This window comes from Homo sapiens, chromosome 19 (assembly GCF_000001405.40).
Source record: "Homo sapiens chromosome 19, GRCh38.p14 Primary Assembly".
In the NCBI taxonomy this organism is placed as follows: Eukaryota; Metazoa; Chordata; class Mammalia; order Primates; family Hominidae; genus Homo; species Homo sapiens.
The window spans coordinates 35,647,322-35,661,274 of record NC_000019.10 but is presented as its reverse complement, the minus strand read 5'-3'; the positions used below and the strand labels follow the sequence as shown (position 1 = coordinate 35,661,274).

General features: G+C 48.7%; 1 protein-coding gene across 1 annotated transcript, besides 2 other annotated features; it reads right to left on the bottom strand.

Moving 5' to 3' along the window:
- On the bottom strand, positions 2,493-12,952 carry COX6B1 (cytochrome c oxidase subunit 6B1). Its single transcript, NM_001863.5, has 4 exons — positions 12,872-12,952; positions 9,926-10,042; positions 6,604-6,704; positions 2,493-2,681 (listed from the first exon to the last, which is right to left on the bottom strand). The coding sequence occupies exons 2-4, from the start codon at positions 10,029-10,031 to the stop codon at positions 2,628-2,630; spliced, it is 261 nt and encodes an 86-aa protein (NP_001854.1). The 5' UTR covers positions 10,032-10,042; positions 12,872-12,952; the 3' UTR covers positions 2,493-2,627.
- Positions 12,691-12,740: an enhancer, noted in NCBI's record as "active region_14491". NCBI's record gives its function as "activates an Ori minimal core promoter by ATAC-STARR-seq in GM12878 lymphoblastoid cells {active_cell/tissue: GM12878}" and the evidence as "EXISTENCE:reporter gene assay evidence [ECO:0000049][PMID:35858748]".
- Positions 12,901-12,960: an enhancer, noted in NCBI's record as "active region_14490". NCBI's record gives its function as "activates an Ori minimal core promoter by ATAC-STARR-seq in GM12878 lymphoblastoid cells {active_cell/tissue: GM12878}" and the evidence as "EXISTENCE:reporter gene assay evidence [ECO:0000049][PMID:35858748]".

The window sequence follows — 13,953 nt, the reverse complement described above, 5'->3', positions numbered from 1 at the left end:
TCCCAGCACTTTGGGAGGCCGAGGTGGATGGTTAACCTGAGGTCACGGAGTTCAAGACCAGCCTGGTCAACACGGTGAAACTACTCTCTAAATCGCTACTAAAAATACAAAAAATTAGCTGGGTGTGGTGGCAAGCGCCTGTAATCCCAGCGTTTTGGAAGGCTGAGGCAGAATTGCTTGAACCGGGAGGTGGAGGTTGCAGTGAGCAGAGATCACATCACTGCACTCCAGTCTGGACAACAGAGCAAGACTCCATTTCAAAAAAAAAATTTTTTTTTCATGGTGTTTAAGTTCTTTGCTACTTCCAACCCACGCCATAACCTCCCACGATCCCTCAAGCTCCCTGTGTGTGCACTAAGGTCCTGTTTACAGCCACTTTTTTTTTTTTTGAGACGGAGTTTCGCTCTTGTTGCCTAGGCTGGAGTACAATGGCACAATCTCGGGTCACAGCAACCTCCACCTCCTGGGTTCAAGCAATTCTCCTGCCTCAGCATCCAGAGTAGCTGGGATTACAGGCATGCACCACCACGCCTGGCTCATTTTGTATTTTTAGTAGAGACGGGGTTTCTCCATGTTGGTCAGGCTGGTCTGGAACTCCCGACCTCAGGTTATCTGCCTGCCTCGGTCTCCCAAAGTGCTGGCATTACAGGCGTGAGCCACCGCGCCCGGCCCCTACAGCCACTTTTCTTCATGAGCAGCTATTTCACAAGATCTATCTCTGGGGCCATTTTTCTCCATACAAGAATCATCCCTGCTCATGTGAATGCATCAGACAAGTTTGTAACCATTTGAAGTTTTGTTTTTGTTTTTTGGGGATGGAGTCTCGCTCTGTCGCCCAGGCTGGAGTACAGTGGTGTGATCTCAGCTCACTGCAACCTCCACCTCCCAGGTTCAAGTGATTCTCCTGCCTCAGCCTCCCCAGTAGCTGGGATTAGGGGCACGCACCACCACACCTGGCTAATTTTTGTATTTTTATAGTTTTTTTTGTATTTTTAGAAGAGATGGGGTTTTACCAGCTTGGCCAGGCTGGTCTTGAATCCCTGACCTCGTGACCCACTCGCCTGGGCCTCCCAAAGTGCTAGGGTTACAGGTGTGAGCCACCACACCCCGGCCATTTGAAAGGTTTTGAGGACACACCAATTCAGCCATAAGAGTGTTCCGGCTGGTCATGCTAGCTAGGTCCCTGTTGACGAGTCTGTTGGGGATATTCTGGGCTGTTATTGTGTGGCAATTCTTTTGGGGGCACCATGAAGAACAGCTCTCAACTTGGCCTACTTAAATGACTTCCAACTACCATCATGATCAGCATGAAAGAGCAGGTCCCAACACGGGGAGAAGTTACACATTGTGCAGGAGATTGCTTATTAGATATTAAGAACTCTTTTTTTTTTTTTTTTTTTTTTTTGGTGAGATGGAGATTTACTCTTGTTGCCCAGGCTGGAGTGCAATGGCATGATCTCGGCTCACCACATCCTCTGCCTCCCAGGTTCACGCGATTCTCCTGCCTCAGACTCCCGAGTAGCTGGGATTACAGGCATGTGCTACCATGCCTGGCTAATTCTGTACTTTTAGTAGGGACGAGGTTTCGCCATGTTGCCCAGGCTGATCTTGAACTCCTGACCTCAGGTGATCTGCCCACCTCAGCCTCCCAGAGTGCTGGGATTACAGGCATGAGCCACTGTGCCCGGCCATTAAGAACTAATTTCTTAGGTGTAAATAATTATGTTAAAAAAATAGGTATCTCCAGGCAGGAGAATAGTTTGAACCCAGAAGGCAGAGGTTGCAGAGAGCTGAGATGACACCACTGCACTCCAGCCTGGGCAACAGATTGAGACTCTGTCTCAAAAAAAAAAAAAAAAAAATTGTATCTCCAAGAGATACATATAGTTTCTTATTTCTGGATAAAATATAATCTTTATGTATTTTATATTATATTATAATCTATATAATTTGCTTTAAAATTATGTAGGGTGGTTGCACACATAGGAACTTAGGTTATTCTGTATAATCAACTATTTGACTCATTGACTGGCACAGAGAGGGTGGCCAAGGTTCAATAAAATTAAGTTAAAAAACGCTAGGCATGGTGGCTCATGCCTGTAATCCCAGCACTTTGGGAGGCCGAGGCAGGTGGATCATCTGAGGTCAGGAGTTTGAGACCAGCCTGGCCGACATGGTAAAACCCCATCTCTACTAAAAATACAAAAATTAGCCAGGTGTGGTGGGGTGTGCCTGTAGTCCCAGCTAGTCGGGAGGCTGAGGCAGGAGAATCGCTTGAACACTGGAGGTGGAGGTTGCAGTGAGCAGAGATCGTGCCATTGCACTCCAGCCTGCGTGAAGAACGAGACTCCATCATAAAAAAAAAAAAAATTAAATTAAATTAAATAAATAAAAACAAAACAGAGAAAATACTCATTCAAGCCCCTCCCTGGTCAGGGCACTGATTCCAGCCCAGCTTCTTGCCACTGCCTGGCCCGTTCACACGCATAGTCTCACTTTTCCAATGAGTTTTTATTAGCAGGTAAGTCATGATTTAGGATCCTGGGGTGGGGATCACTGGGTACCAGGTCCCCCTTCACCATCCTGGGAGAAGGATGGAGGACAGAGGAAAGGGAGATGCAGCCAGTTCAGATCTTCCCGGGAAACGTGCCTTCAGCCCGTTGCTCATCCCAGTCTGTGACCTGTGGAAAGACAGTGTTATTCCCTCCGCAGTGGGGAAACTGAACGGATGGACTTCTTATCTTCCTCACTTTGCCCACCTGTTTGTTCAACCAATATCCACAGGTACCTGCTGTGTGCCAACCTCTATTCTAGAGGCCGGGGAATCAGCAGTGACCCCAAAAGACAGAAATCACTGTTCTGAACAAGCTGACATGCTGGGAGGAGAGTAATGGGCAGGAAAACCCCAGGCCCACTGCAGAGCTGTCGATGGGGAGATGTGTCACTGTACAGAGCTCCAAGGGTGGGCCCTGCTTTGAAAACCTCAAGTCAACACTATGCTGTTTGTCCAAACAGGGGAGATGGAATAGCAGGCAGCTGTGAAAAAAAACGAGGCTGATTTATGTTCTGGCATGAATGGATGGATCTTCAAGATACATAGTCAAGTGCAAAAAAGGTGCCAAACAATACACAGTGCAATCCCACCACTGACCACAGGCGATGCTCAGTATAAACAATGATGGAGGCTGGGTGTGGTGACTCGCACCTGTCATCCCAGCACTTTGCGGGGCCGATGTGGGAGGACTGCTTGAGCTCAGGAGTTTGAGACCAACCTGGACAACACGGCAAGACCCCCATCTCTACAAAAAATAAAAAATAAGCCGGGCATGGTGGCTCACGCCTATAATTCCAGCACTTTGGGAGGCAAAGGTGGGAGGATCGCTTGAGCCCAGGAGTTTGAGACCAGCCTGGTGAATGTGGCAAAACCCTGTCTCTACAAAAAATACAAAACTTAGCCAGGCATGGTGGCATGCACCTGTAGTCACAGCTACTAGGGAGGCTGAGGTGGGAGAACTGCTTGAACCCAGGAGTTCGAGGCTGCAGTGAGCTATGATGCTACCACTGCACACCGCACTCCAGCCTGACAGAGCAAGACTGTCTCTAAAAAAAAAAAAAAAAAAAAAATGAAAAGGCCCATATAAGGCCTATGTCAAGTTAACACTCCCTGAAAGTAACACTCTACTCTTTGTGGACCTCACAAGCAGTTACAAGCATAAACGTTTTTATATACATACACGCTCACATTTTATGCTATAAGGCAGGGGTCCCCGAGCCCCAACCAGTGCCTACCAGGTACTGGTCTGTGGCCTGTTAGGAACTGGGCCCCACAGCTGGAAGTGAGTGGCAGGTGAGCGAGACAAGCTTCAACTATATTTACAAGCACTCCCTAATGCTCGCATTACTGCCTGAGTTCCACCTCCTGTCAGATCAGCGGCAGCATTAGATTCTCTTAGGAGTGCGAACCCTATTGTGAACTGCGCATGTGAGGGATCTAGGCTGCATGATCCTTATGAGAATCTAATGCCTGATGATCTGTCACTATCTCCCATCACCCCCAGATGGGACCATCTAGTTGCAGGAAAACAAGCTCAGGGCTCCCACTGATTCTATAGTATGGTGAGTTGTATAATTATTTTATTATATAATGTAATAATAACAGAAATAAAGTGGACAATAAATGTAATATGCTGGACTCATCCTTACACCATCCCCAACCCTGTCTGTGGAAAAACTGTCTTCCATGAAGCTCATCCCTGGTGCCAAAAAGGGTGAGGACCACTGGTGCAAGAACGAACAGTGGATGAAAGCATGGATAACAGAGAGGCTGAATCTGAATCCCTGCTCCATCACTTCCTAGCTGTGTGACTTTGGGCAAGTTACTCAACCTTTCTGGGCCTCAGTTTCCAATTTTGTAAAATGAGGATACTAACAATAGTACCTACCTCATACGGTTGTGTTAGCATGTTGACCTTATGTGATGTAAAGTGCTAACATGGCTGGGCGTGGTGGCTCACGCCGGTAATCCCAGAACTTTGGGAGGCCGAAGCAGGTGCATCACCTGAGGTCAGGAGTTTGAGACCAGCCTGGCCAACATGGTGAAACTCTGTCTCTACTAAAAATACAAAAATCAGCTGGGCATGGTGGCAGGCGCCTGTAATCCCAGACACTCGGGAGGCTGAGGCAGGGGAATCGCCTGAACCTGGAAGGCGGAGGTTGCAGTGAGCTGAGATTGCACCACTGCACTCCAGCCTGGGAGACAGAGCAAGACTCCATCTCAAAAAAAAAAAAAAAAAAAGGTCTAACAACATAGCTGGCCCATAATAAGTGCCAGCGGTATGTGCCTACTTTATTTACATACACATACCACACCATAAAAACTCCATCCTTGCAAATTGACTCCTACTATATAGATTGTTCTGCAACTTACTTTTCCTGTGTCTTAGCATTCTTTCTGTGTGCTAGCATGTAGATCACCATAGTCTCCATAAAGACTATCAAGATCAATGTTTTAACTTGGGTTATTTCCAAATATTCTCCATTACGAACAACTCTGCAATGGGCATCTTTGTACATGAAGATTTTTGTAGCATCCCTAGATGTGGAATTGCCAAGTTAAAGGGTAATTTTTTTTATTTTGAAAGATTCAGCTGGGTGCGGTAGCTCATGCCTATAATCCCAGCGCTTTGGGAGGCTGAGGCAGGCAGACTGCTTTGAGCTCAGGAGTTCGAGACCAGTCTGGGCAACAAGGCGAAACCCCATTTCTACAAAAAAAATACAAAAATTGGGCCAGGTGTGGTGGCTCATGCCTGTAGTCCCAGCTATTCAGGAGGCTGAGGCTGCAGTGAGCTGAGATCATGCTACTGCACTCCAGTCTGGGCAACAGAGCAAGGCTCAAGAAAGAAAAGAAAGAAAGGAAAGAAAGAGAGAAAGAGTGAGAAAGAGAGAGCGAGAGAGAAAGAGAGCAAGAGAGAGCGAGAGGGCGACAAAGAGAGAGAGAGAGAGAGAGAGAGAGAGAGAGACAGGCACAGTGGCACATGCCTGTAGTCCAAGCTACTCAGGAGGCTGAGACAGGAGGAACACTTGAGCCCAGGAGTTCGAGTCTAGCCTGGGCAACATCATGAGACCTTGTCTTTAAAAACTTTTTTTTTTTTTTAAACAAAGGGCAGGGGCATAGCAAAGAGCTATTAAATATTGACGACAGATTTGGTCAGATCAGGGCTGAAAGGACTGTCTTACTGTGTCATTATTTAGAAGTCCACACTGAAGTAGGCAGGGGTGAAATGACGTGTCTGGGACTTGCTTTAGAATACTTCAGCAAAGGAAAGAAGAAAACGAAAAGGGGTAGATGAAGAAACCGTGGATAAATCCTGATAACTATTCACTTTGGGTGATGGATGTATTTGAGGTCAATGAATTATTATCTCTGCTTTGAAAATGTTCATAATAGGGCCGGGCACGGTGGTTCACGCCTGTAATCCCAGCACTCTGGGAGGCCGAGGCAGGTGGACCATGAAGTCAGGAGATTGAGACTATCCTGGCTAACATGGTGAAACCCCGTTTCTATTAAAATACAAAAAACTAGCTGGGCATGGTGGTGCACACCTGTAGTCCCAGCTACTTGGAAGGCTGAGGCAGGGGAATCGCTTGAACCCAGGAGGCGGAGGTTGCAGTGAGGCAAGATCGCGCCACTGCACTCCAGCCTTTCCAGCCTGGCAACACAGCAAGACCCTTGTCTAAAAAAAAAAAAAGAAAAAAAAAAAGAAAAAAAAATGTTCCTAATAAAAAAGGACAGGACTGCACAGAATTGTGAGCTACACAGGGATGGGAGCCCAGTGCTGAGTGTGTATTTGGAGAGTGCATGAGTGAGCTACATCTAGCAAAGCACCCTGGTCGCCTCAGCTGAGAGCCCTGACTGGTTGAGAGGCATCAGCAGAAGGAGACAGGGAGGTAATTCTAGGCGGGAGGAAAGGCACTGAGTCCTGGGACAGTGTGGTGCCCTGTCCTCCCTCTGCCCCTCACAGATGAGCTCCCACCAAGCCACCACACTCCCCTCTGCTAAGACCCCACCCCAGCATCCCAAGGGCCCTGGCAGGAGGCACATACCCAGGATGTGGGGCAGAGGGACTGGTACACACGCTGGTACCATTCGCACACAGAGATATCGCCTCCTTTAGCGGTCATTGCCTTCTGACAGCGGTGGAAGTCTGTGAAGAAAGGGGTTCAAGTCAGCCCAGATCAAGAGTTGGAACACATTTTTTTTTTTTTTTGAGGTAGGGTCTCAATCTGTCACTCAGGCTGGAGTGCAGTGGTGCGATCTCAGCTCACTGCAACCTCTACCTCCTCCTGGGTTCAAGTGATTCTCCTGCCTCAGCCTCTCAAGTAGCTGGGATTACAGGCACCTGCCACCATGCCCAGCTAATTTTTGTATTTTTAGTAGAGACAGGGTTTCGCCATGTTGGCCAGGCTGGTCTTGATCTGCCCACCTCGGCCTCCCAAAGTGCTAGGATTACAGGCGTGAGCCACTGCACCCAGCAAAATTACATTTATAAAGATGTTTACAGCCACACCATTTGTAAGAACTCCAAAATGGAAATCACACAAGTGTACAGGCATAGAATAAATTGTAGAAAACTGGACAGCAATGAAAATGAGCAAGCTATATGCCACAGCATGTATGGATCTGAGAAGGTACTGAATGAAAAAATCCAAACACAAAAGAATACACACAGTATGTATAAAGTTCACAAAGAGGTGAATCTAAACACGGTGGTAGCCGGGCATGGTGGCTCAGGCCTGTAATCCCAGCACTTTGGGAAGCTAAGGCAGGTGGATCACTTGAGGGTAGGAGTTCGAGACCAGCCTGGACAACATGGTGAAGCCCTGTCTCTATTAAAAATACAAAAAAGTGGCTGGACCTAGTGGCTCATGCCTGTAATCCCAGCACTTTGGGAGGCCGAGGCAGGCAGATCACGAGGTCAGGAGATAGAGACCACGGTGAAACCCCATCTCTACTAAAAATACAAAAAATTAGCTGGGCGCGGTGGCGGGCACCTGTAGTCCCAGCTACTCGGGAGGCTGAGGCAGGAGAATGGTGTGAACCCAGGAGGCGGAGCTTGCAGGGAGCCGAGATCACGCCACTGCACTCCAGCCTGGGCGACAGAGCGAGACTCCATCTCAAAAAAAAAAAAAAAATACAAAAAATTGGCCAGGCACGGTGGCTCACGCCTGTAATCTCAGCACTTTGGGAGGCCGAGGCAGGCAGATCATGAGGTCAGGAGATCGAGACCAGCCTGGCCAACATGGTGAAATCCTGTCTCTACTAAAAACACAAAAAATTAGCCGGGCATGGTGGCACGCGCCTGTAGTCCCAGCTACTCAGGAAGCTGAGGCAGGAGAATTGCTTAAACCCGGGAGGCGGAGGTTGCAGTGAGCCAAGGTTGTACCACTGCACTCCAGCCTGGGCAACAGAGCGAGACTCTGTCTCAAATAAATAAATAAAATTGGCCAGGCATGGTGGCTTACACCTGTAATCTCAGCACTTTGGGAGGCTGAGGGGGGTGGATCACGAGGTCAGGAGTTTAAGACCAGCCTGGCCAAGATGGTAAAACCCTGTCTCTACTAAAAATACAAAAAAAAAAAATTAGCCAGGCATGGTGGCAGGCGACTGTAATCCCAGCTACTCGGCAGGCTGAGGCAGAGAAGTGCTTGAAGCTGGGAGGCGGAGGTTGCAGTGAGTCGAGATTGCACCACTGCACTCCAACCTGGGCGACAAAGCGAGACTCCGTCTCAAAAAAAAAAAAAAAAAAAAATTAGCTGGGTGTGGTGGCGAGCGCCTGTATTCCCAGCTACTCAGGAGGCTGAGGCAGGAGAATCACTTGAACCCGGGAGGCAGAGGTTGCAATGAGCTGAGATCGTGCCATTGCACTCCAACTTGGGCAACAAGAAACAGACTCCATCAATAACATAACAACATAACATATATAAAATAAAATAAAATAATAAACATGGTGGTAAAAAACAAAGATGTGAGGCCGGGCACAGTGGCTCACGCCTGTAATTCCAGCACTTTGGGAGGCTGAGGTGGGTGGATCACCTGAGGTCAGGAGTTCAAGATCAGCCTGATCAACATGGTGAAACCTTGTCTTTACTAAAAAAAAAAAAAAATACAAAAAATTAGCTGGGCATGGTGGCGGGTGCCTGTAATCCCAGCTACTAGTGAGGCTGAGACAGGAGAATTGCTTGAACCCAGCAGGCAGAAGAGGTTGCAGTGAGCCGAGATCGTGACATTGCACTCCAGCCTGGGCAACGAAAACAAAAAACTCAGTCTCAAAAACAAAAACCAAAACCAAAAACAAAGATGTGATAACCCCCAGTTAGTGGCGTCACTTCTCTACTGGGGAGAGCGGGGTGCTGTGTTCCAGACAGGACATAAAGAAGGTGGGGAGGCCAGGCGCGGTGGCTCATGCCTGTAATCCCAGCATTTTGGGAGGCCGAGGCGGGTGGATCACCTGAGGTCAGGAGTTTGAGACCAGCCTGACCAACATGGAGAAACCCCGTCTCTACTAAAAATACAAAAAATTAGCTGGGTGTGGTGGCAGGTGCCTGTAATCCCAGCTACTTGGGGGACTGAGGCAGGAGAATTGCTTGAACCTGGGAGGCGGAGGTTGCAGTGAGCCAAGATTGCACCATTGCACTCCAGCCTGGGCAACAAGAGCAAAACTCCATCTCAAAAAAAAAAAAAAGAAGGCAGGGAGATGAGAGTGTGGGCAATGTCTGCTTTTCTCTCCAGGTTATGGTTGCACAAGGGGTTCACTTTAGAATTATTCATTTAGCTGTACATGTTTGTTATGTGCTTTCTGTACATGTTACAGTACGCACACACATACAGCTTAAAAAAAAATCATTGTAGGGGCCAGGCACGGTGGCTCACACCTATAATCCCAACACTTTGAGAAGCTGAGGCAGGAAGAGCGCATGAAGCCAAGAGTTTGAGACCAGCCTGGGCAACAAACTGAGACCTCTTCTCTACAAAAAAATTAGCCAAGTACAGTAGTGTGGGCCTGTGGTCCCAGCTACTCGAGAGGCTGAGGTAGGGGGACCTCTTGAGCCCAGGAGGTTGAGGCTGCAGTGAGCTATGATTGCACCACTGCACTCCAGCCTAGGTGACAAAGTGAGACCCCATCTCTGGAAAAAAACAAAACCAAACCATAATAATAATAAAAAATTTAAATTAAAAAAAAAATCATTGCAGGAACTAAAGTTTGTAACCCTAGCCTGGACCTGAACAGCAGGTGATGAGAGGCATGGGCCTTCCAGAGTAAGGATGTTCAGAATAAAAGGGAGGAGGCTGGGGTGGATGGGTCCCCTAGGAAGAGGCAAGCGGTGAGTGACTCGAGGTATGTGGCCAGGGAAAGGTCCTGCTTACCCAGGTAGTTCTGCCAGCAGTTTCTAGTCTGGTTCTGGTTGGGGAAGCGGCTGTCAAAAGGGGCGGTCTTGTAGTTCTTGATTTTGGTCTCCATGTCTTCCGCCATGGTGCTGAATCCTGGAGGCGAAAGGAGTGGGTGTCAGCAGGGGCCCCAGGGGCCCTGAGCAAGCCAGACTACCCAGGATCAATGGAAGAGGGCAGGCACGGAACAATGGGCTGGGTGTGAACAAGTTCCTGCCTCTCAACATACACAGAGATGAGGGGCAGGGCGAATCCACACATCTGAGTGTCGAGGTCGCGGCAGGGTTGGGGTACAACTCCTCAGCAAAATCAAGCCTGGTCCCCAAATAACATGAGCTAACACTCACTGAGTGCTTACTACATGCCAGGCGCTGTTCTACACACTTTACTCCTATAGCCACTCTAAAAGGTAGGAACTATTACTATCACCATTGCCCAGACGAGGAAGGAACAGGGTGTCTAAGTGACTTCCTACGGTTAAACGGCATAAAAATAACTGGTGGGCTGCCTCCGTTGTTGGCATAATCTACACTGCAAAGATTCTTAATCTTTTTGGTGCCACAAACTCCTCAGCAGTCTGATGAATCCCAGAAACCTCTCGCTGAATGTTTTTTTTTTTCTTTTTTTAAGACAGAGTCTTGCTCTGTCACCCAGGCTCACTGGTACGACCTAGGCTCACTGCAAACTCCGCCTCCAAGATTCAAGCAATTCTGTTGCCTCAGCCTCCCGAACAGCTGAGATTACAGGCGCCTGCCACCATGCCCTGCTAATTTTTTTGTATTTTAGACAAGGTTTTACCATGTTGGTCAGACTGCTCTCCAACTTCTGACCTCAAATGATCTGCCCGGCTTGGCCTCCCAAAATGTTGAGATTACAGAACGGAGACACCAAACCCGGCCTGAATATGTTTAAATGTATTTAAAAATTGCATAGGCTCCATGAGTACATGAAGTGAAAAAAACCTGCACAGCATCACAAAGAAAAGCAGTTATATCCAGCTGAGGATTCATTAAGGAATACAATTTTCGCCGGGTGCGGTGGCTCACGCCTGTAATCCTAGCACTTTGGGAGGCCAGGGGGGTGGATCACCTGAGGTCAGGAGTTCAAGACCAGCCTGGCCAACATGGTGAAACCCTGGCTCTACTAAAAATATAAAAATCAGCTGGGTGTGGTGGCAGGTGCCTATAATCCCAGCTACTCTGGATGTTGAGGCAAAAGAATCGCTTAAACCCAGGAGGCGGAGGTTGTAGTGAGCCGAGATTGTGCCAGTGCACTCCAACCTGGGCAACAGAGCAAAAACACTGTCTCAAAAAAAAAAAAAAATACAATTTTGAAGTAATCATGAATGAATATAGTATTTTGTGACATTTGCTGTTATAATGTGGTATAAGAATACCTGTGATTTTGGGTGGAGCACAATGGTTCACACCTGTAATCCCAGCACTTTGGAATGCTGAGGTGGGAGGATCGCTTGAGCCCAGGAGTTCAAGACCAGCCTGGGCAACATGGTGAAACCCCATCTCATCTCTACAAAAAAAATATTAAAATTGGCCGGAAGAGGTGGCTCACGCCTGTAATCCCAGCACTTTGGGAAGCCGAGGTGGGTGGATCACCTGAGGTCAGGAGTTCAAGACCAGCTTGGCCAATATGGTGAAACCCCATCTCTACTAAAAATACAAAAAATTAGCTGGGCATGGTGGCGTGCACCTGTAATCCCAGCTACCAGGGAGGCTGGGGCAGGAGAATCACTTGAACCCAAGAGGCGGAGGTTGCAGTGAGCCGAGATTGTGCCATTGTACTCCAGCCTGGGCGATACAGCAAGATCTTGTCTCAAAAAAAAAAAAAAAAATTAAAATTAGCCAGGTGTGGTGGCGCGTGCCTGTGGTCCCAGCTACTGAGGCAGGATCGCTTGCACAGGGAAGCAGAGGTTGCAGTGAGCCAAGATTTCTCCACTGCACGCCAGCCTGGGTGACACAGTGACCCTGTCTCAAAAAAGGAGAAAAACAAAAAAAAGGAATGTCTATGATTTTCATTGCTAACAAAATCACCGCTGCTGCTAGTACTACCGAGGTTGCTGCCTCAAAAGGTTAGTAAAAACACAGATGCAATTCCACCCCCCACCCCAATTCAAGTACTAGCATTCCTTGAATTCTACCAACTCTGCGGACCCAGGGTTAAACACCTTTAATATAATGTCTCTGAAGAAGTGACAGTGTTCGTCGGGAGCCTGAGAGAAAAGTATCTATATTCCAGGGAATCCTAGGAGTCGTGGGGCTATACAGAGACTTGCAGAGCAGTGTCAAATTCAAGCGACGCAAGGTGGTGGTGGGGGTCTGGAGCACTAAAACAGTCTTTCGGTGGGGAAGTGGGGTGTAAAACACCAGCTGCTGGGGCACAGACGCAGTAGGAAGGATCGTTACCGGCGAGATCTCTACCCGGTATCTGAGGATGAGGGTGCATCGGAGATGACGCTGCGGCCCCTCCAACGTCCAAAAGGGAGGATGGACTGGACACCCGGGAGCCAGGCTGCGGCCCAGGCAAGCCGCGAGAGGCCACGCCTGTGAATTAGCCATGAAGAGCCCTGGAGGACAAACTCCTGGGCCAAATCCTGGTCGCTGTGTAGGTTCAGCTAGGTCGCTTGGTATCTCTGAGCCTGTTTACTGACAAAAGGGGATAATCGCAGGCCCTATCTCATAGGGCTGGTGGGAGAGTTAAATAAATTAATTAAAGTTGTTTGGGATGTTGCCTGGCATCAAGGAAGAACCGTATCATTGTTAGCTCTTACGATGAACAGAACAGGGCCCCGGGGTCCAGGGAGGCCGGACGCCGCCAGCCGGAAGCCTCAACCCGTTCTCAGGGAAGCTGGGGTCCGGCTCCTCAGCCCGCTAGACTGGGGTCCCAGGTTACAGAACCCTCCACACTCACCTAAAGGCACCCCGGATTCAACCTGCAGCTCAATGTGACCCTCAGCAAAGACACCACAGTCGGACAGGAAGCGGAACTACTACCAGCCGGAAGCTGAGAGAGGTGGGGACTACGGGAGTCTTGCGAGCGGCTTCAGCTCCCTCCCAGGAGGAGGCCACTGAAGTCATTCAAGCCACGCCCAGCAAGAGAACTACGACTTTCTATTGGGCTAAATGCTTGTTCATCCTCACTTCTGGCCCAATCGTGAGCTTGCGCGGCTGGGGCTCGGGCGCCCGTGGGTTACCCGATCTCATCACCTCTGTGTCTTCACTCGGAGAGAGTGTTATAGATCCCGGGGCTGGCTGGAGGGTAGGTGTGGAGAAAAATGTCCCAGCGAAAGTACTTTTATTCATGCAAGAAATATTTATTGAACGCTTTTTCTGTGTCAGGTATTTCTTTTCTTTAAATTTTTTTTTTCTTTTTTTTAAATTTTTGAGACAGGGTCTTACTCTATGGCCCAGGCTGGAGTGCAGTAGCGCGATCTCAGCTCACTGCAACCTCCGCCTCCTGGGTTCAAGCGATTCTCCCGCCTCATCCTCCCGAGTAGCTGGGATTACAGATGCGCACCGCTACTCCTGGATATATATATGCATTTTATAGAGATGGGGTCTTGCTGTGTTACCCAGGCTGGACTCGAACTCCTGGTCTCTAAGCGATCCTCCCGCCTCGGCCTTCCAAAGCGTTAGGATTACCGGCGTGACCCACCGTATCCAGCCATCAGGCACTTTACGGGTTGAGAAAGCACGCTGCACAAAACACAAAAATCCCTACCCTTAAAATATATATATAGAGAGAGAGACGGAGTCTCACTCTGTCGCCCAGGCTGGAGTGCAGTGGCACGAACTTGGCTCACTGCAACCTGCGTCTACTCGGTTCAAGCGATTCTCCTGCCTCAGCCTCCCGAGTAGGTGCGATTACAAGCGCACGCCACCACTCCCGGCTAATTTTGGTATTTTTGGTAGAGATGGGATTTCACCATGTTGGTCAGGTTGGTCTTGAACTCCTGACCTCAGGTGATCTGCCCACCTCGGCCTCCCAAAATG

What these genes read in the sequence shown, in the direction of transcription:
- COX6B1 (NM_001863.5), bottom strand. Translation starts at nt 10,031, where the DNA reads ATGGCGGAAGACATGGAGACCAAAATCAAGAACTACAAGACCGCCCCT. An exon ending in CTGCTGGCAGAACTACCTGG is followed by an intron (nt 6,705 to 9,925) that starts GTAAGCAGGACC and finishes CTTTCTTCACAG; the next exon opens with ACTTCCACCGCTGTCAGAAG. An exon ending in CCCTCTGCCCCACATCCTGG is followed by an intron (nt 2,682 to 6,603) that starts GTATGTGCCTCC and finishes GTCTTTCCACAG; the next exon opens with GTCACAGACTGGGATGAGCA.